Source organism: Homo sapiens, chromosome 5 (genome assembly GCF_000001405.40).
Source record: "Homo sapiens chromosome 5, GRCh38.p14 Primary Assembly".
Classification (NCBI taxonomy): Eukaryota; Metazoa; Chordata; class Mammalia; order Primates; family Hominidae; genus Homo; species Homo sapiens.
In genome coordinates this window covers 157,642,605-157,669,820 of record NC_000005.10, presented here as the reverse complement: position 1 = coordinate 157,669,820, position 27,216 = coordinate 157,642,605, and the positions used below count along the sequence as shown (strand labels likewise).

Below are 27,216 nucleotides of genomic sequence, written 5' to 3'. Positions count from 1 at the left end.
CAGGCTGGGTGCCGTGGCTCATGCCTGTAATCCCTGCACTTTGTGAGGCTAAGGCGGGCGGATCACTTGAGGTCAGGAGTTTTCGAGACCAACCTGGTCAGCATAATGAAACCCCGTTTATACTAAAAATAAAAAAATTAGTCAGGCGTGGTAGCGCCCACCGGTAATGCCAGCCACTAGGGAGGCTGAGGCACGAGAATCAGTCGAACCCGGGAGGCGGAGGTTGCAGTGAGCCAAGATTGTGCCACTGCACTTCCAGCCTGGGCGACAGAGAAATACTTTGTCTCAGATAAATAAATAAATAAATAAATAAATAAATAAATAAATAAATAAAATTGATGGGCGCGGTGGCTCACACCTATAATCCCAACTCTTTGGGAGATCGGGGAGAGCAGATCACTAGAGGTCAGGAGTTTAAGACCAGCCTGGCCAAAATGGTGAAACCCCATCTCTACAAAAATTAGCCGAGTGTGGTGGTGCCTGCCTACAATCCCAGCTACTCAGGAGGCAGAGGCAGGAGAATCACTTGAATCCAGGAGGCAGAGGTTGCAGTGAGCCGAGATAGTGCCACTGCACTCTAGCCTGGACTACAGAGTAAGACTCTGTCTCAAAAAATTAAATGACTTTGCTTCCCTCCCCAATCCCAGCACCCAGGCATTGTGCCTTGCAGCAGATCCTAGCTGAGCATTTAAGCACAAGCCTCTGCTGACCCCTTTTGGTCTCTGTGGGATCTGCCCTAGTCTAGCAGCCAGGGCCCCAGGTGCACATTTGGCACCTTTTGGCCTTGTGACCTCACCTGTCAAAATGCTTTCCCACCATTTATCTCATGGGGTCCTCTCTACAATCCTGGGAAGTGAGGAAAGCCGGGATTCCCATTCTCACTTTACAAATGAGCAGCAGGATCCTGGGATCCAGTACCAAATCTACCACTAATTCCTTACCTGACCTTGGCAAGTCACCTTCCTACTCCCAGGCTCAGTCACCCATCGATGAAATAGGAGGGGCGATCTGCACAAGACAGCTATATGGTTTCTTCCACCTCCCCAACCTCTCAGAGTGGAGAGGTAACTTGCCCAAGATCAGAGTGAACCAGAGCTGAAGCACTCCCAGTCTGCAGGTCCCCATCACTGATCAGGAAAAGCCAGAGGTGTCACAGCAAAGAAGAAAACCCATTCTTCCACCTTTATGTTCTGATTGTGTGTTCAAGGGCCACATAGATAGGTGAGTGGATGGATGGATGGATGGATGGACGGATGGATGAGTGGTTGGATGGATGAGTGGATGGATGGATGAGTGGATGGATGGATGGATTGGTGAGTGAATGGATGAATGGATGGATGGATGAGACAGATATGTCAGAACTTTGGGATCACTCTTAGCAGCAACTTCAGCAGCTACCTACCTCCCCCTGCTCCCTGACAAGTTACCCCTCTGATTCCAGCTGGCTAACCCTTTGGCAGGATCCTCTGGACCCACCAAATTCTGAATCCTTCACATTCTGAAATCACTGCCCCTGCCTGACAGCCTGGAGCTAGGACCTGCAGTGTGGGGAATAAGTCTTCATCCCAGGCTTCCTTCTTGACATGTTATCAACCACTGTCCTCAACAGCTACAGCCGTAGGAGAAGAGTCAGTGGCCAGGGACCATAAACGAAGGCTCCAAACATGGGCATCCCTCACAGAGCAGTTCCTTTGGCCAATAATGGCTGAAATAAACTCTGTGCTCATAATGAAGCTGAGAATCACTGGGGCGGCAGCCTGGCATGGGAAGAGCACGCCCTGTGCATCGTATGGCCTGGTTCACATCTGACATTAAGTTCCTCCACCTCTCTGTGCCTTGGTTTTCTTGCCTGTAAGATAGGCGTGATGCCTGACAAGTGTTGTTGTGGGGAATGAATGAGGTAAGATATAAAATGCCTTGCAGGTCATAGGTGCTCAGTAAACAGAAGTTCCCTTCTTTTTGTTCCAGGTCATGGAGAAATGTTGTAGAGGGAAGGAACAAAGTCTACTGTGCATCCAGCAAGGTTTGTATGTGTGTGTGTGTGTGTGTGTGTGTGTATGTATGTATGTATGTATGTATTCTGAGATGGAGTCTCGCTCTGTCGCCCAGGCTGGAGGGCAGTGGCATGATATCAGGTCACTGCAGCCTCTGCGACCTGGGTTCAAGTGGTTCTCCTGCCTCAGCCTCCAGAGTAAAGTAGCTGGGATTACAGGGGCCTGCCACCACATCCGGCTAATTTTTGTATTTTTAGAAGAGACAGGGTTTCACCATGTTGGCCAGGCTGTTCTCAAATTCCTGACCGCAGGTGATTCCGTCCGCCTTGGCCTCCCAAAGTGCTGGGATTACAGGCATGAACCACCATACCCAGCCTCAAGGTTTTTAAACTGGTTTTTCCAAGTACTCCAAAGCAGTACAATGCATTTGGTGGGGGAATGAAGGGAGGGGAAATGAAATGTATTTTCAACAAGAAATGAAGTTGTGTTCAAACATACTTAATCTCTTTAAGAGATAGTACTTTTCATCTGTCCACTGCCACCATCATAGAACTTCAGGCACAATGAATACTCCACAGAGATTTTCCAGTGACAAGCTGAGCTCATCTCTTTATTTCATAGGAGTCTGGGGCAGCAGTCAGGACTCCTACGTCCCATCCCTCCACTTCTTGGGTGAGCCTCTCCCTCATCCACATCTCCCTAACCCAGCCTGACTCTCCCTAATGGCCTATCCATCCCAGAGTGGGTGACAAGTTCTTCAGATACCTAGTGGAAGAGACACCTGGGTTGGAGTCCAGCTTTGATGTTAAAGAGTTGACCTTGGCCAGGCATGGTGGCTCATGCCTGTAATCCCAGCACTTTGGGAGGCCAAGGCAGGTGGATTACCTGAGGTCAGAAGTTGGAGACCAGCCTGGCCAACATGATGAAACCCCGTCCCTACTGAAAACACAAAAATTAGCCAGGTGTAGTGGTGCATGCCTGTAATCCCAACTATTTAGGAGGCTGAGGCGGGAGAATCGCTTGAACCCAGGAGGTGGAGGTTGCAGTTAGCTGAGATTGTGCCACTGCACTCCAGCCTGGGCGCCAGAGCCAGACTTCATCTCAAAACAAAACAAAAAACCTCATCCATAAAATGGGGCTAATAAAATTACCTATTCTGCTGTTGGGAGGATTCAATGAGATCATGTTTGAAAAGAGCTGGGCCTTATACCTGGCACATGAGTGCTCAATAAATGTTAATATGCTAACGATTTTGATGACCTGAATGGGATCCCAGCTGAGATTTCATTTGAACTGAGGTGTGTGTGTGTGTGTGTGTGTGTGTGTGTGTGTGTGTGTGTGTGTGTGTCTACTGGACTAAAGAATCTTTCATCTGGGCATAGTGGCTCACACCAATCCCAGCACTTTGGGAGGCTGAGAGGGGAGGATCTCTTGAGCCCAGGAGTTTGAGACCAGCTTGGGCAACATAGCCAGACCCTATCTCTACAAAAATACAAAAATTAGCCAGGCATGGTGGCATGTTCCTGTGGTCCCAGCTACTCTGGAGGCTGAGGTGGAGGTGGGAGGATCGCTTGTGCCCAGGAAGTCAAGAATACAGCGAGCCATGATTTTTCCACTGTGCTCCAGCTTGAGTGATAGAGTGAGACCCTGTCTCAAAAACAAACAAACAAACAAAAACAAAAAACAAAAACCTTTGGCCAATCTCCTTAGTTTCAAGATTCCATTTCTCCCACAATATCTTCCCATCCAATACCTCTCCATTCTTCACTCACTAATTTTTCTTTCTTTTAATCTTCTTCTCTCCCAATAACTAAGTGGCTTTCAGGAATTTCATTGCTTTGAAATTTGAGCCGAGATCAAATCACTGCACTCCAGCCTGTGTGACAGAGTGAGACTCCATCTAAGAAAAAAAAAAAAAAAAAAAAGGGAATATCCTGCAAGATGGTCAGTCAGACCAGGTTTTGCAACTTTGCAGTGACTCACTGTGTAATCTTAGTGAAGTTCCTCCATCTCTTTGGGTCTGAGTTTCCTGAACTATTAAATGGGGGTAATAATACACAATAGATGTCAAGTACCTAAAACACTTAAGGGCTCCATATAGTTTTATTTTTATTTATTTATTATAAATAAATTATAAATTATAATTATTTATATTTATTTAAATATTTATATATTTAAAATAAATGTATATTTAAAATATATATTTATTTTATTTTATTTTATTTTTTATTATACTTTAAGTTTTAGGGTACATGTGCACAATGTGCAGGTTTGTTACATATGTATACATGTGCCATGTTGGTGTGCTGCACCCATTAACTCGTCATTTAACATTAGGTATATCTCCTAAAGCTATCCCTCCCCGCTCTGCCAATCCCACAACAGGCCCCGGTGTGTGATGTTCCCCTTCCTGTGTCCATGTGTTCTCATTATTCAATTCCCACCTATGAGTGAAAACATGCGATGTTTGGTTTTTTGTCCTTGCCATAGTTTGCTGCGAATGATGGTTTCCAGCTTCATCCATGTCCCTACAAAGGACATGAACTCATCATTTTTTATGGCTGCATAGTATTCCATGGTATATATGTGCCACATTTTCTTAATCCAGTCTATCATTGATGGACATTTGGGTTGGTTCCAAGTCTTTGCTATTGTGAATAGTGCCACAATAAACATACGTGTGCATGTGTCTTTATAGCAGCATGATTTATAATCCTTTGGGTATATACCCAGTAATGGGATGGTTGGGTCAAATGGTATTTCTAGTTCTAGATCCTTGAGGAATTGTCACACTGTCTTCCACAATGGTTGAACTAGTTTACAGTCCCACCAACAGTGTAAAAGTGTTCCTATTTTTCCACCTCCTCTCCAGCACCTGTTGTTTCCTGACTTTTTAATGATCGCCATTCTAACTGGTGTGAGACGGTATCTCATTGCAGTTTTGATTTGCATTTCTCTGATGGCTAGTGATGATGAGCATTTTTTCATGTGTCTGTTGGCTGCATAACTGTCTTCTTTTGAGAAGGGTCTGTTCATATCCTTCACCCACTTTTTGATGGGGTTGATTTTTTCTTGTAAATTTGTTTAAGTTCTCTGTAGATTCTGGATATTAGGCCTTTGTCAGATGGGTAGATTGCAAACATTTTCTCCCATTCCGTAGGTTGCCTGTTCACTCTGATGGTAGTTTCTTTTGATGTGCAGAAGCTCTTTAGTTTAATTAGATCCCATTTGTCAATTTTGGCTTTTGTTGCCATTGCTTTTGGTGTTTTGGTGTTTAGACATGAAGTCCTTGCCCACGCCTATGTCCTGAATGGTACTGCCTAGGTTTTCTTCTAGGGTTTTTATGGTTTTAGGTGTAACATTTAAGTCTTTAATCCATCTTGAATTAATTTTTGTATAAGGTGTAAGGAAGGGATCCAGTTTCAGCTTTCTATCTATGGCTAGCCAGTTTTCCCAGCACCATTTATTAAATAGGGAATCCTTTCCCCATTTCTAGTTTTTGTCAGGTTTATCAAAGATCAGATGGTTGTAGATGTGTGGCATTATTTCTGAGGGCTCTGTTCTGTTCCATTGGTCTATATCTCTGGTTTGGTACCAGTATCATGCTGTTTTGGTTACTGTAGCCTTGTAGTATAGTTTGAAGTCAGGTAGCGTGATCCCTCCAGCTTTGTTCTTTTGGCTTAGGATTGTCTTGGCAATGCGGGCTCTTTTTTGGTTCCATATGAACTTTAGTTTTTTCCAATTCTGTGAAGAAAGTCATTGGTAGCTTGATGGGGATGGCATTGAATCTATAAATTACCTTGGGCAGTATGGCCATTTTCATGATATTGATTCTTCCTATCCATGAGCATGGAATGTTCTTTCATTTTTTTTGTCCTCTTTTATTTTGTTGAGCAGTGGTTTGTAGTTCTCCTTAAAGAGGTCCTTCACATCCCTTGTAAATTGGATCCCTAGGTATTTTATTCTCTTTGAAGCAATTGTGAATGGGAGTTCACTCATGATTTGGCTGTTTGTCTGTTATTGGTGTATAGGAATGCTCGTGATTTCTCAACATTGATTTTGTATCCTGAGACTTTGCTGAAGTTGCTTATCAACTTAAGGAGATTTTGGGCTGAGACAATGGGGTTTTCTAAATATACAATCATGTCATCTGCAAACAGGGACAATTTGACTTCCTCTTTTCCTAATTGAATACCCTTTATTTCTTTCTTCTGCCTGATTGCCCTGGCCAGAACTTCCAACACTATGTTGAATAGGAGTGGTGAGAGAGGGCATCCCTGTCTTGTGCCAGTTTTCAAAGGGAATGCTTCCAGTGTTTGCCCATTCAGTATGATATTGGCTGTGGGTTTGTCATAAATAGCTCTTACTATTTTGAGGTACATCCCATCAATACCAAATTTATTGAGAGTTTTTAGCATGAAGGGCTGTTGAATTTTGTCAGAGGCCTTTTCTGCATCTATTGAGATAATCATGTGGTTTTTGTCTTTGGCTCTGTTTATATGCTGGATTACGTTTATTGATTTGCATATGTTGAACCAGTCTTGCATCGCAGGGATGAAGCCCACTTGATCGTGGTGGATAAGCTTTTTGACGTGCTGCTGGATTCATTTTGCCAGTATTTTATTGAGGATTTTTGCATTGATGTTCATCAGGGATATTGGTCTAAAATTCTCTTTTTTTGTTGTGTCTCTGCCAGGCTTTGGTATCAGGATGATGCTGGCCTCATAAAATGAGTTAGGGAGGATTTCCTCTTTTTCCATTGATTGAAATAGTTTCAGAAGGAATGGTACCAGCTCCTCCTTGTACCTCTGGTAGAATTCGGCTGTGAATCCATCTGGTCCTACTTGGTTGGTAGGCTATTAATTATTGCCTCAATTTCAGAGCCTGTTATTGGTCTATTCAGGGATTCAACTTCTTCCTAAACATATTCTGAAGGCAATTGCTTGAAAAAGTTATTATCAGTAGAAAGGAATGTCTGGGTTATGATAAAGGGTTGTGAAGACCTAGGTTTTATCATGCAGACAAAGCCTCCAGCAGGCATTAGAGAGAAGACCATCAATGTTTCTTATCAGATATAAGGTTTGTGTTGGTTAATGCTGGAGGAGTGTAATGAGGCATGTCCAACCCCTACTTCCTTTCATGGCCTGAACCAGTCTTTCAGGGTAAGTTTTAGAGTTCCCTGGCTGAGGAGAAAGTCCAATCAGATTTTTGTGGGGGAGGCTTTTGAATTTTATTTGTGGTTTACACATCAAAGAAAAAACCTCCAGGGAAATTATAAAATATTTTCTACTGAATGACTGTAAAATCAGAGCATATCAAAATTAATGCAGGTAAAGCAATATTTAGAGAGAAATTTATAGCTTTAAAAATTAGAAAGGAAGACTTCAATAACCTAGAAAAATTAATTAAGCTTTCACCTTAAGAAACTACAAAAAGAAAAGCCAAAGTAGAATGAAGGACTAAAGACCACAGCAGAAATCAATAAAAAGAAAACAGCAAAACAATAGAGAAAATTAGTGAAACTTACAGTTAATTCCTTGAAAAGATCTACAAAATTGTTAACTTTTTAGTCAAATGACCAAGAAAAAAAGAGAGAAGACAGAAATTACCAAAATTGGGATTAAAAGAGGAAGCATTCTGAACCCTATGGAAATTAAAAGGCTTATAAAGGAATATTTTGAACAACCTTATGCCAACAATTTGTCAACTTAGATGAAATGGGCAAATTCATTAACAGAAATGATCAAAGTAGACTCAAAAAGAAATTATACAATTTGCATAGATATATATCAGTGAAAAACATTAAAGCGTTTAATTAAATTATTTTAGAATCTTCTTCAAAGCAAAGTCCAGGCCTCCATGGTTTTATTGGGAACTCTATTAACATTTAAATAATTAATAATACCAATCCAATGGAAATCTTTTCAAGAATAGAAGGGGACACTTTACAGCTCATTTTACCCTGATACTAAAAGCCACAGACAAAGATATCACAAGAAAATTATAGAACAACACTCGTCATGAATGTAAATGCTAAAATTGTTTAAATAACAACAAATTAGATCCAGTAATGTACAAAAAGGATTATACACTATTACCAAGTGTGGTCGATTTATTACAGGAATGTTCTTTAGCTTAACATCTGAGTATCAATTCATGTAATACATATATTAATAGAATAAATCAGTGGTCAGCAAACTATAGCCAAAAGCAAACTATAGCCCTTGGGCCAAATCTGGCATGACATTTGTTTTTGCAAATAAAGTTTACTGAAACAAAGCCAAGCCCATTCATTTGCATATTGTCTATGATTGCTTTCTGCTACAAAGCAGAGTTGATTGGTTGCAACAGAGCTCATATGGCTCACAAAACCAAAAATATTTACTATATAGCCTTTTCTGGAAAATGTTGCTGACCCTTAAAGGAAAAAGCCATATAATCATCTCAATAGACACAGACAAAGCATTTGATAAAATTGAACTACTATTCATGGTAGAATTCTCAATAAACTAGGAATAGAAGGAAACTTTCTTACTTTGATAAAAGGCAGCTACATAAACCTATGACTAACAACATGCTTAAAGGTGAATGACTGGATGCTTTCTTCCTAAGACTGGGTGCAAGGCAAAAGGATGTACACTCTCACCACTTCTATTTAACCTTGGACTAAAAGTTCCAGCCAGTGCAATAAGGTAAGAAAATAAAAATACAAAAATCAACATACAACCAACTGCAAAGGAAATTTTAAAAAATTACATTCACAAATAGCATAAAAAGAATAAAGGATTTAGAAATAAAGTTAATGAAAGAAGTACAGGACAGTACACTGAAAATTATAAAACATTGTCAAAGGAAATTAAGACCTAAATAAATGGAGATATGTCCCATGTTTGCAAATAGGAAAATACAGTATCATCAAGGTGTCAGTTTTCCCAAAATTGATCCATAGATTCAATATAATTTCTATCTAAATACCATTAGGGTTTGCTTTAAAAGAAATTGATATGATGAACCTAAAATTTATCTTTTAAATCCAAAGGACCAAGAAAAGCCAATATGATTTAATGAAAGAACAAAGTTCAAGGACTTACATGATTTCAAAATTTCAAAATTTACCATAAAGCTAGAGTAATCAAGACTGTGGTACTGGCATAAAAATATGTATATAGCTTGGCACGGTGACTCATGCCTATAATCCAGCCTGGGTAACAGAGTAAGAACCCCATTTGTAACAAAAGAAAAAAAAAGAGATACTGTAAACCAAAAATAAAATTCTAAATTCCCCAACCAATGAAATGGACCCCTCCTTTTGGCCAAGGGTATATTTTTTATATTTTATTATTTTATTTTATATTTTATTTTATTTTACTTTACTTTATTTTATTTTATTTTATTTTATATTTTTGAGACAGAGTCTCACTCTGTTGCCCAGGCTGGAGTGCACTGGTGCAGTCTCAGCTCACTGCAACCTCTGCTTCCTGAACTCAAGCAATTCTCCAGCCTCGGCCTCCCGAGTAGCTAGGACTACAGGCACAGGCCATCACACCTGGCTAATTTTTGTATTGTTTTGTAGAGACGAGATTTTGCCACGTTGCCCATGTCGGTCTAAAATTCTTGGACTCAAGCAATACTTTTGCCTCAGCCTTCCAAAGTGCTGGGAATGCAGGCATGAACAACTGCACCAGGCTAGGGCATTTTAAAGTAAACCTAAAACACTAGCTCAGGCTACAATGGGAATGGGTGGTCAGACATGCCTCATTAAACATTCCTCCCGTTGGAATTCAGGCACAGCTGACCAGCATTAACATAGAAACAGCGACTTTCAGACTGACAGAATAGACTTTTTAGGTCTGATATTCTCTGAAGCCTACTATCTGGAGGCTTTATCTGCATAATAAGAACCTTGGTATCCACAACCCCATATCTTAACCCAGACACTCCCTTCTGTTGATTCTAGGTCTTTAGATAAGTCTTTCAACCAATTGCCATTCAGAAAATCTTTGAATCCACCTGTGATCTGGAAGCCCTGATTTGAGTTGTCACACCTCTCTGGACTGAAGCTATGTACATCTTACAGTATTGAATGATGTCCTATGTCTCCCTAAAATGTATAAAAGCAAGCTGTAGCCTGACCACCTTGGTGACATGTTGTCAGGACTTCTTGAGGCTGTGTCACGGGGATGTCCTTAACCTTGGCAAAATAAACTTCTAAATTGATTAAGGCTTGCCTCAGATACTTTTGGTTTATAGTACATAGATGGAAGGAATGGAAGGAACAGAACAGAGAGTTCAGAAATACACCCATGCATCTATTGTCAATTACATTTTGATAACTGAAATCAGAATATGAACTGAAACCTTGCACAAAATTAACACTAACTTTCTTATTGGACCCCACCACTTACCCAAAGTTAGCCTTTGAGTTGGGGGTTTCCACAGTATAGTGGGACCATTCCATGGTCACCAGAAAGACGTTACAGGATCCTAGCACTTACTGGGAATATCTGCACTATAGGCTCATCTGGGTCACCAGAAAGATGTTACAGGAAAGGGGTCCAGGTCCAGAACCCAAGAGAAGGTTCTTGGATCTCACACAAGAAAGAATTCAGGATGAGTCCACAGAGTAAAGTGAAAGCACGTTTAAGAAAGTAAAGCAATAAAAGAATGGCTACTCCATAGACAGAGTGCTGGTTGCCCATTTTTATGGTTAGTACTTGATGATATGCTAAACAAGGGGTGAATTATTCATGCATCCCTTTTTAGACCATATAGGGTAATGTCCTGATGTTGCCATGGCATCTGTAAACTATCATGGCACTGGTGGGAGTGTAGCAGTGAGGATGATAAGAAGTGACTCTTGTCACCATCTAGGTTTTGGTGGGTTTTAGCCAGCTTCTTTACTGCAACCTGTTTTATCTGCAAGCTGTTTATGACCTGTATTTTATGCCAGCCTCCTATCTCATCCTGTGACTTAGAATGCCTTAACTGTCTGGGAATGCAGCCTAGTAGGTTTCAGCCTCGTTTTACACAGCTTCTACTCAAAATGGAGTTGCTCTGGTTCACACGCCTGACATTACCCCCTCCCTTTTATAATCCTAAAGGTTTGTATAATTTTAATCCTAAGGGTTGCAGAGGGTTGAAAATCCATCTTCTGTAACTTCTTCATGCTGAATAGGAGCAATGATATTCTTGCTTAACTATGAGAGTCTCTTGTATTCAGGGTAGAGAGGAGCTCAGTCAGAAAGCATCAGTATGGCGAGGGCAATTCATAACTCCGAGTTTTGACAAAAGGTGATATCTGGAAGATTCATAAGTGTGCTCAGAATTAGAATACTGATTTAGATTTTTACATTACCCATCCCTCTTGTTTCTTCTGAGCAGCAGTCAGATGTCACTAGTTGGTTCAGAGGAATAAGCAGGGTTAGCCTAAATTGCAGAAACAAACTTAAAAACAACTGATGAGACTAGAATTTAATAACAAGTGTACCACAGTTTCTGAAACATAATTTCTCTCTCCAGTTTCCCATTTTTACTAAAGACAAATCACGGTAAGACTGATTTGCTTTACTATAATTGGCCTGATTAGTTGTATAAAGTGCAATGAGAATAATTATTTTTTACATAACCACTTTTTAAATTGGTTTTGATGCAACTTTATTCCATAGAAAGAATCTCAGATAAGACTTTTTCAGAGCTGAGCCCTGCCATAGGTTTGTACCCTCAAATACCTATGAGATGAGTAAATTCCCCTCCTCTTGGGGTCCCAAGATAACCTGGGGATCCTGGACCTGTAGAAAGTGACATTCTTTACTTACCACAGGTCAGAAACCCTGTACAGGGGCTGTTGTAGACAAGGTCTGAGGCCAATTCCCCAAGGGGCTTTTATTGGCTTTACAAGTCAAGTTTGATTCCTTAAAGGAAAACGTGCCATTCCAGTCAAAGCGTTGGTAAAATAACCACTGTTTCCAATTGTGTCCTGTTGCAAAAGAAAAGAGGTTCTTATTGCACTTATGCAAATAACTATATTGCCATAATGTAAGAATACTCACAAATAGTTTCCACATTCTGGAGAAATTAGGTAGAGAGAACTAAATATGCTTCAAATGTTATTCACAGCAATATACTTTACTCAATTGCTACAAGCTGCAAATAGCTCAAAAGATAAGTTTCCTTGACTCTGAAAAACAAAACAAAGGATCAGCAGCATTTTAAGCAAAGTTAAAATGATTACTTTAGTCTTCTATTAGTTCAGTCAATGCAGTTAACTTCTGTTCTGCTTGATATTCCTGAACATTTCAGCTCTCCATGAGTATTCTGAAAGTGTTTTCCTTTATTTTAATATCACAATTTCCAAAGTTATCAGAAATCTGCATTTAAGAACACCTGTTAGAGTTCTACAGTTGATTATAAACCAACTTTTGAAGAGGATTAAAAGACAACAATTGTGTGTGGATGACAAAAAGTCTTAGGACAGCCACTATTAAAGTCTCAATTGATAAGGAAATTTGCTTCCTTCTGTGGTATACAATGATTTTATGTAACAATTATAATTATTCACAATATACACCAAGTCATATCAGAATTATAAGACTTTTAAAAATAATTTTCAATATATACCAATAATACATTTATACAATTACAGCCCCCAAAAATCCAAACACCATTTTACATTTGATAATGCTTCCTGTGTGGTTTTTGTACCAAATAAGCCAAATGTGACTCTTGCATTAGTGCATTATTGATGACAAACCCAATTCTTTATAAAACCTTATAGACAAATGTATTCAATCTTAATCAGTTTGACTATAAGGTAAGATTCTCACAAACCTTTTATAACCCTTTACATATTTTTGTTAAAGAGCAAATCATAGCAGGTTTTTGCTCTAAAAAAACTTGTGCTTTTATTCCAATGTTTAATTTATAGAAAAACTGAATACCCCTTTAACTTTAACTAATATATTCACACACAGAATGTCCTACAATTAATTTTTCACACTTTCCAAAACTTTCTTAAACCTTCAGCTTCATTCTATCTAACTTAAAACAATAATTTAACCATTTAATCTAAGGAAGAAAATTTACATTCTCATGACTTCTAATGATCTTTTACCAAAAACACATTTCACTTTCCTTACACACCTTATGTGTAGAACTATTCTTCAGTAGTCTCAATTACATGTTACAATGTTAACTTTCAGCGATTTTTACTTTTGGTGAAAACCCTGGTTGGTAAGCATTTTAATTATGTACTAGGTGTGCAGCCTAGGACACAGACAGAAGTGCAGATAAGGTCTGACTTTTTCTAGCATTGCTTGGGGTATGGCTAACATCACATGTCCCCAGGCCTTATCTAGACTCTAATATGGTCAAAGTAGGTAAATTAAACAATTTTCAAAAGTGAAAGCAGCAGCTTATGAACTTAAAGCATTTAGCAAACCTAATATCTGACCTGCATAATTTAGACCAAATGTTTACATTTTAAGATATTTTTATTTTACCAATAATCTTTAAAACTGTCTTCATTTCCCAAAGATTACTTAAGTCACATGAACTATATAAAAGGCATTATATGTTTAATTTTTCTCACAAAAATATGACTGAAGCACTTATTATTTTTAACCGATTAATCAAACCTCTGTTATATACAAGCACCACACACATGATACACATAAATACACAGACAAAAGATAAAGGACTCATCTCCTAAGATGGGAATTGAACCCTGAACCCGGGCCACCACTGTGAAAGAGAAAGCACAGCCACATGGTTACAAGGTCAAGCTCCCAAGGACATACAAGACAAGAGGGAAACCTCATCCAGTTTTTTTCACGGACCTGCAGCAAAGTTTTTAACTGACCAGTTTGCTGGGCCATCTTGAACAGCAGGCTTATAGGTGTCCTAAGCCCATGTTCTATCCTAAGGTACCCCTCTTTATGACAGAACAATACAGAATGACACAGGAAACACACCAGATTGGCTACAGCTTAAGACTAGCCTCACAAATCCTTTCTTCCATTAATCAAAACTTTGTAAGAAATAGTGATTTTTACCATTCCTACAACCAGTTTGCACAGAGAGAGACGACAGCATTGCCTGAGGCAAGGTGGGGAAGGCCAGGCGTTCAGGGAAGCCACAGAAAGATCCACCCACTGCAGCGACAGTGAAGAGTTCAGGTGGCCACTTCTCGGTAGTGAAGGGATGTTTTCCAGCAGTCCCATCGACTCTCAAGTTTCCCCTTTACGGGAGGAAAAAGCTCCTCATGTCCCATGATCCTGTACCTGCCTAACCCTGTCATCCGCATCCATCAGCAAAGAGTACAAGGCAGATTATTCCAAGGAGAATAGAAGTTAACATACCGTAGTGCCAAACCTGTTCTTAGCCAAAGGGGACTTTACCGAGAGGGGCTTCTAGCCCCCTAAATCTTAGAAGGGACTCTAACCCTCCTAAGTTGGGCTTCTAACCCAATCCCATTCTTTATCTGGGTACCCCACCACTTATCCAAAATTGTCCAATCAGTGCTATAGTCTATTTCCTTTGAGTCAGGAGTCTCCTAAGTATCGTCCCTTTAGGGTTCACCAGAAAGATGTTACCGGACCCCACCACTTACCCAAAGTTAGCCTTTGGGTCGGGGTTTCCATACTGCAGTCCATTCCATAGTTGCCAGAAAGATGTTACAGGACCTCACCACTTACTGGGGGCTTACACACTATAATCCCACCTGGGTCACCAGAAAGAAGTTACAGGAAAGGGGTCCAGATCCAGACCCCAAAAGAGGGTTCTTGGATCTCGCACAAGGAAGAATTCAGAGCGAGTCCATAAAGTAAAGTGAAAGCGAGTTTATTAAGAAAGTAAAGGAATAAAATAATGGCTACTCCATAGACTGAGCAACCCCAAGGGCTGCTGGTTGCCCATTTTTATGGTTATTTCTTGATGATAAGCTAAACAAGGGGTGGATTTTTCATGCCTCCCCTTTTTAGACCATATAGGATAACTTCCTGACATTGCAGTGGCATCTGTAAGCTGTCATGCTGCCAGTGTGAGTGTAGTAGTGAGGATGACAAGAGGTAATTCTCATCACCATCTTGGTTTTTGTGGGTTTTAGCCAGCTTCTTTATTGCAACCCGTTTTATCAGCAAGGTTTTTATGACCTGTACTTTGTGCCAGCCTCCTATCTCATCCTGTGACTTAGAATGCCTTAACTGTCTGGGAATGCGACCCAGTATGTTTCAGCCTCATTTTACCCAGCACCTACTCAAGATGGAGGTGCTCTGGTTCACACACCTCTGACAACTTATTTGCCTCTTTTATCAGCTTTTGCTCATGCATACAGTTGCCTCTCCCATTTAAACCCTAGTACAGTGGTTCTCAAAGTGTGGTATGGGGACTGACACTTACAGAGTCAGCTAGGTTAAAACTATTTTCATAATAATCCTAATGTAATATTTGCTCTTTTCACTTCATTCTCTTGTGAGCATAAGGTGGGGAAAATATAATTTTTTCCTATGAAAATGTGTTACCACAGAATGGTTTTATTGTTGACGTTTTAAATGAGTTGCTATCTTTAAAATTTGTTTTTATTTACAACATGGTAAATATTGATAGATGAAATCCACATGAACAAAAGCTTTTTTGGGATCTTCAATAGTTTTTTTTTTTTTTTTTGAGACAGGGTCTTGCTCTGTTGCCCAGGCTGGAGTGCAGTGGCACGATCTCGGCTCCTGCAACCTCTGCCTCCCAGGTTCAAGCGATTCTCCTGCCTCAGCCTCCCGAGTAGCTGGAATTACAGGCATGTGCCACCATGCCCAACTAATTTTTTATTTTTAGTAGAGACGAGGTTCCACCATGTTGGCCAGGCTGGTCTCGAACTCCTGACCTCAAGTGATCCGCCTGCCTCAGCCTCCCAAAGTGCTGGGATTACAGGAGTGAGCCACCACGCCCAGCCCAGGATCTTCAATAGTTTTTATGGGTATAATGAGTTCTTGAGATAAAAGTTTGAAAACCATTGCCCTTGTCTATCTGCCAGGTATAAGAACTCCTACTGACCACATTTGTTACCAGAGGATTGGACAATAAATTGGAGTGGTCTTTGAGTGATAACTTGTCTTGATTGCAAAAATCATCTACGTCAAGATAAACTATAGTTTTTGGCCAGAATGTCATTTAGAAATGCAGCAAATGTTAATACAGGATTTCTTTTTGTTTTTCTTGGTGATGTTTAATGGAAATAAACACAATCCTACTAAAAGGAGAAACATAAACATGGAAAGGATTTGGAACAGTGTCTAGCATAAGAGTAAGCCCTTAACACAGGTAGTGATTATTACTATTTTATTATTACCCTATCACAGTCGCTATTCATTTATTTATTCAACAAGTATTTATTGAGTACTATATGCCAGGCTCAATGGTCTGCATTGTGGATTCAGTGATGGGCAAAACACAAACTGTTCTGCCTTCAAGGACTTTATAGTCTAAAGTGGGAGAGGCAGTGGAATCATCACATGAAAATTCTAATTACAAATTGTGGTAAGCAAACCAAGTGATAGAGGTATAAGTAGACCAAGATTTTATCTGATTTTCAGAGTCAGTAAAAGCTTCTCTGAAGAAGTCCCAGTTGAGCTGCAATATGAAAAATGTGCAGGAGGAATTAAGGAGACACAAAGGAAAGAGTAGCATGCTGAGCATGTTTAAACACCCTGCAGTAGAAAGAGAATGATGATGGGGCCAATGTGGCTGAAACCCAAAGACTCAATAACTATTTAATGGCAAAAACCACAATTACTTTTGCACCAATCTAATAGTAGCAGTAGTAGGAGGTTAGATCCCAAGCCACTGGGGGATTTTTAAGGCTTTGCTAAGAATTTTAGACTTTCATTACATTATCAGTGGGGAGCCATGGAAAGTTTAGGAAAAGTGTGACAACCTTAGATTTGCGTTTTCGAAAGATCACTGGCAGCTGGAGTGTAGTGGGGCAAGGGTGACAAGCAGGGAGACTATTTACAGGGTTACGGCAGTATCCCAGTGAAAGATGCTGGGAGCCTGGAACAGGATAATGGCAGGTAGAGACACAAAACAGTGGATGAATTTGGGATGTATAGTATTTTGGAAGTAGGGCCACAGGGCCTGGTGATTAATTGAAACTTTAGCACAATAATCACACAAAGTCGAAGATCCTCCCCAGCAACATTAGCTAATAGGTTATTGATAAGTTGCAAAATCTTCCCCATTCTCCCTTGGCAAAGATTCAAAAGCCCTGGTGGTACTCAGGGCCGACAGATTACTCAGGCCGCACAGAGCGCGTGCACAAGGCCGTCGCTCCCCTTGTGACGCAAGACTTCATTCCCTGGATGTCAGCGGCCTGGAAGCGCAACGTTTCCTGGGCAACGCCATTGTCGCAGCTCCGGGTGGGGGAGGGATGACTAAAGACAACGGCTGTAAGAGAACTCCACAAGAGAGTCAGAACGAAAATGTGCAACAAGTGCGGCGGCTCCTACCATGGCAGGTGATTCGAGGACTCAGCACGAGGCGAGAGTAGGGACCAGGAAGAGCCGGAAAACCCGCCTGTGATTGGCCGTCCACGGGTATCGGTCGTTGTGATTGGGTGAGGCCCAGACAGACAGCTGCGTTTTGAACCGCGTAGGGTTCTGGGTAGCAAAGGCCTTGCAAGGCTCTTAACCGAAAGGGGGAGGGGGAAGGTCGCCAACAAACGGCTGAGCTCACAATCCTGGCCGGGGCGTCCCCCTCCCCCATGGAGAGAGCCAGACCCGAGCCGCCGCCTCAGCCGCGCCCGTTGCGTCCCGCTCCGCCCCCGCTGCCGGTCGAGGGCACCTCCTTTTGGGCAGCAGCCATGGAGCCCCCTCCGTCGTCTCCCACACTGAGCGCGGCAGCCAGTGCGACCTTGGCCTCGTCGTGCGGGGAGGCAGTGGCGTCCGGCTTACAGCCCGCGGTGCGGCGGCTGCTGCAGGTGAAGCCAGAGCAGGTGTTGCTGCTACCACAGCCTCAGGCCCAGAACGAGGAAGCCGCTGCCTCGTCCGCGCAGGCGCGGCTGTTGCAGTTCAGGCCCGACCTGCGGCTCCTGCAGCCGCCGACAGCGTCAGACGGCGCCACCTCCAGGCCCGAGTTGCACCCGGTGCAGCCCCTGGCGCTGCATGTCAAGGCCAAGAAGCAGAAGCTGGGGCCCAGCCTGGATCAGTCAGTGGGGCCTCGAGGGGCCGTCGAAACCGGTCCTAGAGCCTCCAGGGTGGTCAAGTTGGAAGGCCCCGGGCCGGCCCTCGGCTACTTCCGAGGGGACGAGAAGGGCAAGCTGGAGGCGGAGGAGGTCATGAGAGACTCGATGCAAGGCGGGGCAGGCAAAAGCCCGGCAGCCATCCGAGAAGGTGTGATCAAAACGGAGGAACCCGAGAGACTCCTCGAGGACTGCAGGCTCGGCGCGGAGCCCGCGTCCAATGGCCTGGTTCATGGCAGCGCGGAGGTCATCTTGGCCCCAACGTCCGGTGCCTTTGGGCCGCACCAGCAAGACCTTAGGATCCCTTTGACGCTCCACACGGTCCCCCCTGGGGCCCGGATCCAGTTTCAGGGAGCTCCGCCTTCAGAGCTGATAAGATTGACCAAGGTCCCCCTGACACCAGTGCCTACTAAAATGCAGTCCCTACTGGAGCCTTCTGTAAAAATTGAAACCAAAGATGTCCCGCTCACCGTGTTGCCCTCAGATGCAGGTATTAGACAGCAGGGGAGTCGGGTTTTCAAAACTGCGTCTGTGTTGCCCATAGCTGTTTTGTCAGCAGTTCCCAAGTCTAAACTACAAAAGTAAAGTAATGGAACTGATTGTTTTCAGGGCAGAGTCTGCACAGGTATCACTTCTGATCGACTTGTACATATAGCAGTAAAATACACGAATGCCTTCAAGATTCTCAAGTATTTTTTAAAAAATCGATTTTAAGGCCCAGTATTTAGATAGGACTAATTTTTGTACACAAAAATAGAAATATTCTTGCTAGACAGCGCATAGCCCTCAGTTTATATGCTACAAATAATCAAGATTAAAAATATTGTAGTATAACAGCTCAGTACTTTTATATGTATCAAGAAATAGAAGAAATAATGGTGTTGAATGAAAAAAGTGATTATAATTAAACAGGAAAGTTTATACCGATTATAGAGGCTATCTTTAAAAATGAATAATAAATATTCTAGCAGAAAACAATACGTGATTCAATGTAATATTTTAGGGTTTATTCCTCTGAAAGGTAATGACTTATAGAAATATTGAAAAGAATACAGTAGAATGAGCCATAAATATTATTTTTAAAGAAATGACTAGTTGCAGCAGTAACAAGTACAAATAATGTTTTTATTTCTATTCAGTATTTCCAGATATATAGTTAGCAAATTCTTATTTTAAGATTTAGTTCACACAGAACACTTTGCCAATGAACATCTTGGAAAGTCATATTAATCTTTGGTTCATATTTTTATTAACTTTATGTTTTATTGTTTTTTTAATTTTCTGTGTTGATTCTTCCTCTCCACTCCACCCTGTTGCTTTTATCTTTAGTAGTTTTTAGATTTTATTTTTGTTTTCTAAAGGAAAGAAAGGGAAAGCTTTCTTTATACTACTTATTTCATCTTTAGTGTTTTTAAGAAATTTTTAATATATGAAGTAATCCTAAAATAATATAATAAATTTATGGACAGTTATTTTTGATAAAATACATGAGAGATGTGAATTTAGATAACTTCCTTTGTTGAAATTTCAACTGGCTCTGTGACTTTCTTTTTTTAAATTTTATTTTATGAAAAAGAGATGCTGGTCTCGAACTCCTGGGATGAAGCAGTCCTCCGCCTTGGCCTCCCAAAGTACTGAGGTTACAGGTGTGAGCCATTGTGGCTGCCTTCTCTGACTTTCAAAAAAATTACTTTTATTATTTTCTGTCATTTTTTTTCTGAAATATTGGCAGAGAGGTTCTAGGAATGAAGGTCAGAAGCAAGTGTGAGCCATTTTACCTGCCTTCTGTGACTTTCAAAAAATTATTTTTTTGAGACTGAGTCTCACTCTGTTGCCCAGTCTGGAGTACCGTGGCGTGATCTCAGCTCGCTGCAACCTCCACCTCCTGGGTTCAAGCGATTCTCCTGCCTCAGCCTCCTAGGTAGCTGGGACTACAGGCATGAGCAACCACGCCTGGCTAATTTTTGTATTTTCAGTAGAGATGGGGTTTCATCATGTTGGCCAGGCTGGTCTCAAACTCCTGACCTCGCGTGATCCACCTGCCTTGGCCTCCCAAAGTGCTGGGATTACAGGCGTGAGCCACCGTACCTGGCCCAAAAAATTATTTTTATTGTTTTCTTTCATTTTTCTCCCAGGACACAGGACTAGTGTTGATGATTCCACTTGGTAAGAGCTTCACCTTCGTAGTGAAATACAACTAATATAGTATTACAATATTATAAATAGTTTTGCTTGAAAGGACACAAGAGCAGCATGTAGATGAGTTCCTGTGAATGTTTAGAGAACCTCTACCTAGCTAAGATTATAGTCACGAGTAAGTCATGCATGGTTCCTGTTCCTTAATGGTAGAATATTTTTAGTAGTAAATAAATAAATGTTAATTATTGTTAGAGGTACTAATAATACAGATCAAAGAAGTAATAAGCCAACAATTTACTCTCTTCAACATGATTATTGCCACAGTTATCTTCAACAATATTATCCTCTTTGAGGAAAAGGAGTCATTCTAAACTACAGTTCAGAATGATGAGTTCAGGGGATGTAAGGAATTGTGGAATACTGGCAGGTTTTTTTGGTTATATTGAAGTGTATATTTCCTCCAGATATTTCAAAAATAAGTATAGACGGAGGTGCACTTTACCTTAAAATTGTGTGTGTGTGTGTGTATGGCACATTAATTTAGCCTTTTAATTTTTGTCATGTAGGCATACCAGATACTCCCTTCAGTAAGGACAGAAATGGTCATGTGAAGCGACCCATGAACGCATTTATGGTTTGGGCAAGGATCCACCGACCAGCACTAGCCAAAGCTAACCCAGCAGCCAACAATGCAGAAATCAGTGTCCAGCTTGGGTTAGAGTGGAACAAACTTAGTGAAGAACAAAAGAAACCCTATTACGATGAAGCACAAAAGATTAAGGAAAAGCACAGAGAGGAATTTCCTGGTAATCAAATTAAATAATGCCTCTTACTTCTTTTAAATGAATTTATTTAGTTAAAGATTAGGGTAGGTTGAGATTGAAAGACAAAAATATATAATTTTTTTCTGATATGTACAATAAAGAGAATAATGACTAATATTATAACAATGATTGAAATGACACTGGGCATGAGTTTCCTTAAATAGAACCAAGCAAAGGGATATCTGATTTCATATTCACCAACTCATACAAATCAGAGGACACGCAGTTTTATTGTGGTTTTGATTTAGATAGATGTAAGTTTAATGAAAGTACATCTTGAAAGCTTTAGGCTATAATTTTGCAAGTAAACTATAGAAGTGTTAAAATGATAGCAACAGAAAAAAAATGCAGTCTACGCTTAATGAGAATGCAGGGATTGTCACCATATTCCATTTTAACATATGATTGTCAGAACATAGTCCTGCCTTCTGATTGATAGATTTAGCCCTGTCATGATATAGTGTGAAAGGAGTCCGATTTCTCCCTAGCAGTGGGAACATTGGGATTAAGCTTGGAAAATGCACAGTGCATGGCCAGCATGTCTGTGCAAGGTGGGACAAAACTTATTATTTTCTGAAATATTGGCAGAGAGGTTCTAGTAATGAAGGTCAGAGGCAGCAACTACAGTGAACCAGTGATTGTTCTGATTACACAGTGGCTGCAAATGCCATAGTTCCACTGTTCTGACTTTGGAAGAAATTAAGTTATTTGTGGACTTGGAGATTGCTGAGTTTAGGAGAGTGACTCTTCTTGAACTAGGCACAAAATTAGTGACTGATCAGCCAGGCGCGGTGGCTCACACCTGTAATCCCAGCACTTTGGGAGGCCAAGGTGGGTGGATCACGAGGTCAGGAGATCAAGACCATCCTGGCTAACACAGTGAAACCCCATCTCTACTAAAAAAAAAAATAAAAAAATTAGCTGGGCATGGTGTTGGGCACCTGTAGTCCCAGCTACTTGGGAGGCTCAGGCAGGAGAATGGCATGAACCCAGGAGGTGGAGCTTGCAGTGAGCCGAGATCGTGCCACTGCACTCCAGCCTGGGCGGCAGAGTGAGACTCTGTCTCAAAAAAAATAGTGACTGATCATTAGTGACTATTGCATTGTAAGATATAGATGATTGTAACTTACAGAAAGTGAGGAAATGAGATGAATAATGTCATAGTGAGGCATTATTTGATAAGGTGGAGGAAAGGCTTTGGGATTCAAATACAGCGGTTTTGATGTTGACTCTACTACAGGTTCATTCTGTGTCATTGGTTATAAAACATTTGACCCTTGGCCAGGCGCAGTGGCTCTCGCCTGTAATCCCAGCCTTTGGGAGGCCGAGACGGGCGGATCACGAGGTCAGGAGTTCAAGACCAGTCTGGCCAACACGGAGAAACCCCGTCTCTACTAAAAATACAAAAAATTAGCCGGGTGTGGTGGCATGCACCTGTAATCCCAGCTGCTCAGGAGGCTGAGGCAGGAGAATCACATGAACCTGGGAGGCGGAGGTTGCAGTGAGCCGAGATTGTGCCATTGCACTCCAGCCCGGGCAACAGTGCAAGACTCCGTCTCAAAAAAAAAAAAAAAAAATTTGACCCTCTTCTTTTCAATGATGAGTTATAACATTGGCCACTAGTCAGGAGCTATTTGGATATGTATGTTAAAATACACAGTGGAGAAGTCATTCACTGAAATAATATCCCGGAGCTGGAAAAGATACTTTAGACAATAATTTGTTTTTAAAACACTTTAAAGTGCTTTGCATTTTAGTATGAAAAAAATTATTTAAAGGCTAAATGGAGTCTACACATTTAAACATATTTTGTCTTCTATAGGTTGGGTTTATCAGCCTCGTCCAGGGAAGCGAAAACGATTCCCTCTAAGTGTTTCCAATGTATTTTCTGGTACCACACAGAATATCATCTCTACAAATCCTACAACAGTTTATCCTTACCGCTCACCTACGTACTCTGTGGTAATTCCCAGCCTACAGAATCCCATCACTCATCCAGTTGGTGAGTTAGTTTTATTGTAGATTACTATTTTTTAAATAGCTGCAAGAAAATTTTACCTCAAGTTTGAAGTGTTCTTTCTGTTAGTCTTAAGAATTTGGAACAACAATGTTAAGAAAAAAAGAAGAGGGAAAGTGAGAACATTAAATAGGAGAAGGAAAAATTTCAGTAGAGATCAAAACACTTGGTTTGCCAGAGTAGCAAATAATCCATGTGTAAAACCTCAGACCTTTTAAGCAAATCAGGATGAGCCCATAGATTAGGCAGATAATGCAGGAAATAACTGAGGTAATTCAATAGGAAAAAGGAGAGTCTTTTTACTAACAGCATAAAAGACTGCCTTGCTAATGGGGTATGAGGCATCCTGTCCTGGAACTTAGTAATGATACTGATTTGTTGAGACCATTCTCTCACTGCTCTAGAAAAGCAGTGGAAGTAATCTATTTTCTACCAAATATTTGTTTGGTTCATTATATTAATCTCTCTAAATGTCTCCTCTGAGTTCTTTACATTCCTGTTACTGATTTTAAGAACCAAAAATTGACAACCTAATATCTTAATAACTTGTTATAGGGCTATCCATCATTGGTTTGTTTTTCCAGAACAGTTTTTTTTTTTTTGAGATGGAGTTTTCGCTCTTGTTGACCAGGCTGGAGCAATGGTGCAATCTCAGCTCACCACAACCTCCGCTTCCTGGGTTCAAGCAATTCTGCTGCCTCAGCCTCCCGACTAGCTGGGATTACAGGGATGCACCATCACACCCGGCTAATTTTGTATTTTTAGTAGAGATGGGGTTTCTCCATGTTGGTCAGGCTGGTCTGGAACTCCCGACCTCAGATGATCTGCCCGCCCCGGCCTCCCAAACTGCTGGGATTACAGGTGTGAGCCACCACGCCTGGCCCCCAGAACATGTTTTAACCATCTTTAAGGGAGAGCTTTATACATTCACTACTTGCTGTCACTTTTTTTTTTTTTTTCCAGACAGGGTCTCACTCTGTTGCCCAGGCTGGAGTGCAGTGGCAGCATCACAGGTCACTGCAGCCTTGCCCTCCTGGGCTCAAGTGATTCTCCCACCTCAGGCTCCCTAGTAGCTGGGACTATAGGTGCACACCACCATGCCTGGCTAATTTTTGTATTTTTTTAGAGATGGGGTTTTGCCATGTTGCCCAGGCTGGTGTCGAATCCTGGGCTCAAATGATCCACCCACCTTGACCTCTCAAAGTGCCAGGATTATAAGTGTGAACCACCATATCTGGCCCACTTTCTTAAACCTACTAAGACTGCGTAAACCTGCTTTTTCTATTTTTTTTTAACCTCTTTAAATCCTTCTGGTAATAAAGCCACCCATATGAGCTGAGAGTTTTAGATACCTTGGAAACTGACTTCTTAGAATCTTAGGCATTTTCAGTGTTGTTGTTGTTGTTGTTTTTTAATGTATCATTTTAGCAATTGATAGCAACAAGCTACATTCCAGATGTCTAGACTCAAGAGAGAGATGCAGAAAGCTGATCCTATAGCCCTGTTCTGTCCTAGCACAGGCAGGCACTCTCAGTCTTCACTGTTTGGTAGTGACTTCTTTAATCTTGTATTTCAACCCAGGCTTAATTATGACTTTGTTCACTTACCTTGTTTTTCTGTTATGTTATTTATTTATTTTTTAAGACAGAGTCTTGCTCCGTTACCCAAGATGGAGTGTAGTGGCGCGATCTCGGCTCACTGCAGCCTCTGACGCCTGGGTTCAAGCAGTTCTCCCACCTCAGCCTCCCGAGTAGCTGAGACTACAGGTGCACACCACCATGCCCATCTAATTTTTGTATTTTTAGTAGAGATGGGGTTTCACCATGTTAGCCAGGCTTGTCTCGAACTCCTGGCCTCAAGTGATCCACCCATCTTGGCTTCCCAAAGTGCTGGGATTACAGGGTGAGCCACCATGCCCAGCCTGTGTTATGTTATGATTTCTGTTTTCATAATATAATTTTCTTCTTTTTATCCCTTTTTCCAAGACCTCACTTACATCTGCTTCTACCCACTGTTAAATGCTGTATATTTTCTCTTCCCAGAAACAGAATTAACAACGTTCTTATTTGAAACAGTTGACATTTGATACATTAATTTTATGCCATTCTGAGCAAAGATAAGGGTTTAGTAGAAACTGGAAGATTTCTTCTAATGTTGGTAGGGTTCTTTCTCCATGATGTTGTATTTAAGTATGGTAGGCAGAATTATAGGAAGCACTTCAGAGCTATGCACAACAGTAATCAAATCTAAGACAAGAATGATTTTTTTGTTTGTGCTTAGTTTTTTGTTTTGTTTTTTACAATATCTCTTATTTCTGGTGACATGTAGTGTCAGTAAAGATTTATTTCTTGGGCCAGCTGTGGTGACTCATGCCTGTAATCCTGGTGCTTTGGGAGCCTAGGAGTTCGAGACTAGCCTGGGCAACATAGCAAGACGCTGTCTCTAAAAACAAACAAACAAATTTGTTTCTTGCATCTCAAAAGATAAACAGAGAACATTATCTTATAAGCATAATTTGGGAATTATTAAGATATACACCTTAACAGTAAATCATGAAATTTATCTGCTATTTTGTTCCCCAATCATATGGCTTTGAAATATATTCTTATAGATTGTTCTCATCAACTTGGCTTTATATTATTTAGAGAGGTCAGTATCACTTGCAAATTTGGAAATTTCACTGTATATTTAATATTCTAAATCATTTGTGAAGCTTAAGTTAGAACAGATTATAGCACACATCTCGTGTGCTATAATCTTGGGGAATCATAATTTTAATATCTTGTCATATACAGTTGTTAATGTATATACTTTTTTGTTGTTTCAAGTAATTTCATATTCTAAATATGAAGTTACGGTAATTTTGTTTTTCAAGCATGTTTGCTGTATTTCCATGGAAGAAAGATATCAAGATAGTGAGGTATATGATTTTTCTCATATAAAAACAATTTGCTCTTTTTCTGTAGCAAGCTTTGTGCATTAATATCGTACTGTATACATTTCACCACCATTTCAGGTGTAGATAATAGACTCACCAAGCTAGAGTTGTCAAGGTCATCAGTTTCAATAGCTGGAAGTCATGTTAATTTTCTAAAAATCTCTGGCAGAAGCCATTTGTACCTACTTTGTCTAAAATTTTCTCAGTTCCACCCTTGAGGTTTTTTAAAAAAATTTTTTAATATTTATATTTATATATATTTTTGAGACAAAGTCTCATTCTGTTGCCCACGCTGGAGTGCAGTGGCGCGACCTCAGCTCACTGCAACCTCCACCTCCGGGGTTCAAGTGATTTTCCTGCCTGAGCCTCCCGAGTAGCTGGGATTATAGGCATGCACCACCATGTCTGGCTAATTTTTGTAGTTTTAGTAGGGTTTCACCATGATAGCCAGGCTGGTTTTTCAAACTCCTGACCTCAGGTGATCTGCCCACCTCTGCCTCCCAAAGTGCTGAGATTGCAGGTGTGAGCCATCATGCCTGGACAGAGGTTTGTTGTTGTTGTTGTTGTTGTTGTTGTTGTTGTCCGTTTTCTTCTTTAAAAAAAAAATTCTTGGGTGAATGCCATCTAAGATCTATTTATATTCCTTTTGTCAATTGGATTAGAACATTCTTTGAACTTGTCATTATACTGTAGTTGATCTAATATTTTTAACCTATTTACTTTGAAAATTAGGGTTCAGAAATCTTAAGGTCTTCTTTAGGAGAAAGGAATTTATTGAGTCTCTCTGTTCTCTGTCAGTTGCTGTTTATACCGTAATGACTAAATAATTCCACCGATTCTCTCCTTTTTGTAAAAATATTTGGAGTCAATTAGTATTGACTTTGAGGTCTCTCAGGTGTGGCTCCTTCAATTTTCCTTTGGACTGCCTAGTTTTTTTGCATTTGCCTCACCGCAGTTGGGCTCATTTGTACATTTGGACAAGCTTTTGAAGGTTTTGTTGTTGTTGTTGTTGTTATTTTTGTTATTTTTTATTTATTTATTTTTTTGCCAGTTAGCCATAGTAACTGTGACTTTGAGGC

At 40.7% G+C, this 27,216-nt stretch overlaps 1 protein-coding gene and 1 long non-coding RNA gene across 5 annotated transcripts in view, besides 1 other annotated feature; one reads left to right on the top strand and one right to left on the bottom strand.

The window, feature by feature from the left end:
* SOX30 (SRY-box transcription factor 30) overlaps positions 1-27,216 on the top strand; it is a 45,802-nt gene that overhangs the window by 1,660 nt on the left and 16,926 nt on the right. For 2 of the 3 annotated variants that reach the window (NM_007017.3, NM_178424.2), the window contains exons 1-3: positions 17,383-18,709; positions 20,925-21,164; positions 23,005-23,184. In NM_007017.3, coding sequence (NP_008948.1) covers positions 17,743-18,709; positions 20,925-21,164; positions 23,005-23,184 — 1,387 coding nt within the window. In that variant the 5' untranslated portion in view covers positions 17,383-17,742. Of the gene's footprint in view, positions 1-1,968; positions 2,024-17,382; positions 18,710-20,924; positions 21,165-23,004; positions 23,185-27,216 lie in introns of those variants that run through there. The other variant, NM_001308165.2, reaches the window with a different exon arrangement.
* Positions 7,784-18,015, bottom strand: LOC105377675 (uncharacterized). Of its 2 annotated transcripts, none has more exons than XR_941127.3 (3): positions 17,489-18,015; positions 11,810-11,970; positions 7,784-11,292 (listed from the first exon to the last, which is right to left on the bottom strand). It is a non-coding gene; the product is annotated as an uncharacterized LOC105377675 (long non-coding RNA). The 2 variants fall into 2 exon arrangements; XR_941128.4 differs by lacking the exon at positions 17,489-18,015 and adding an exon at positions 13,829-14,924 and having other exon boundaries at positions 10,683-11,292.
* Positions 17,446-17,740: an enhancer, noted in NCBI's record as "tiled region #8057; HepG2 Activating non-DNase unmatched - State 23:Low, and K562 Activating non-DNase unmatched - State 24:Quies". NCBI's record gives its function as "activates a minimal TATA promoter and a strong SV40 promoter by Sharpr-MPRA in HepG2 and K562 cells {active_cell/tissue: HepG2 | K562}" and the evidence as "EXISTENCE:reporter gene assay evidence [ECO:0000049][PMID:27701403]".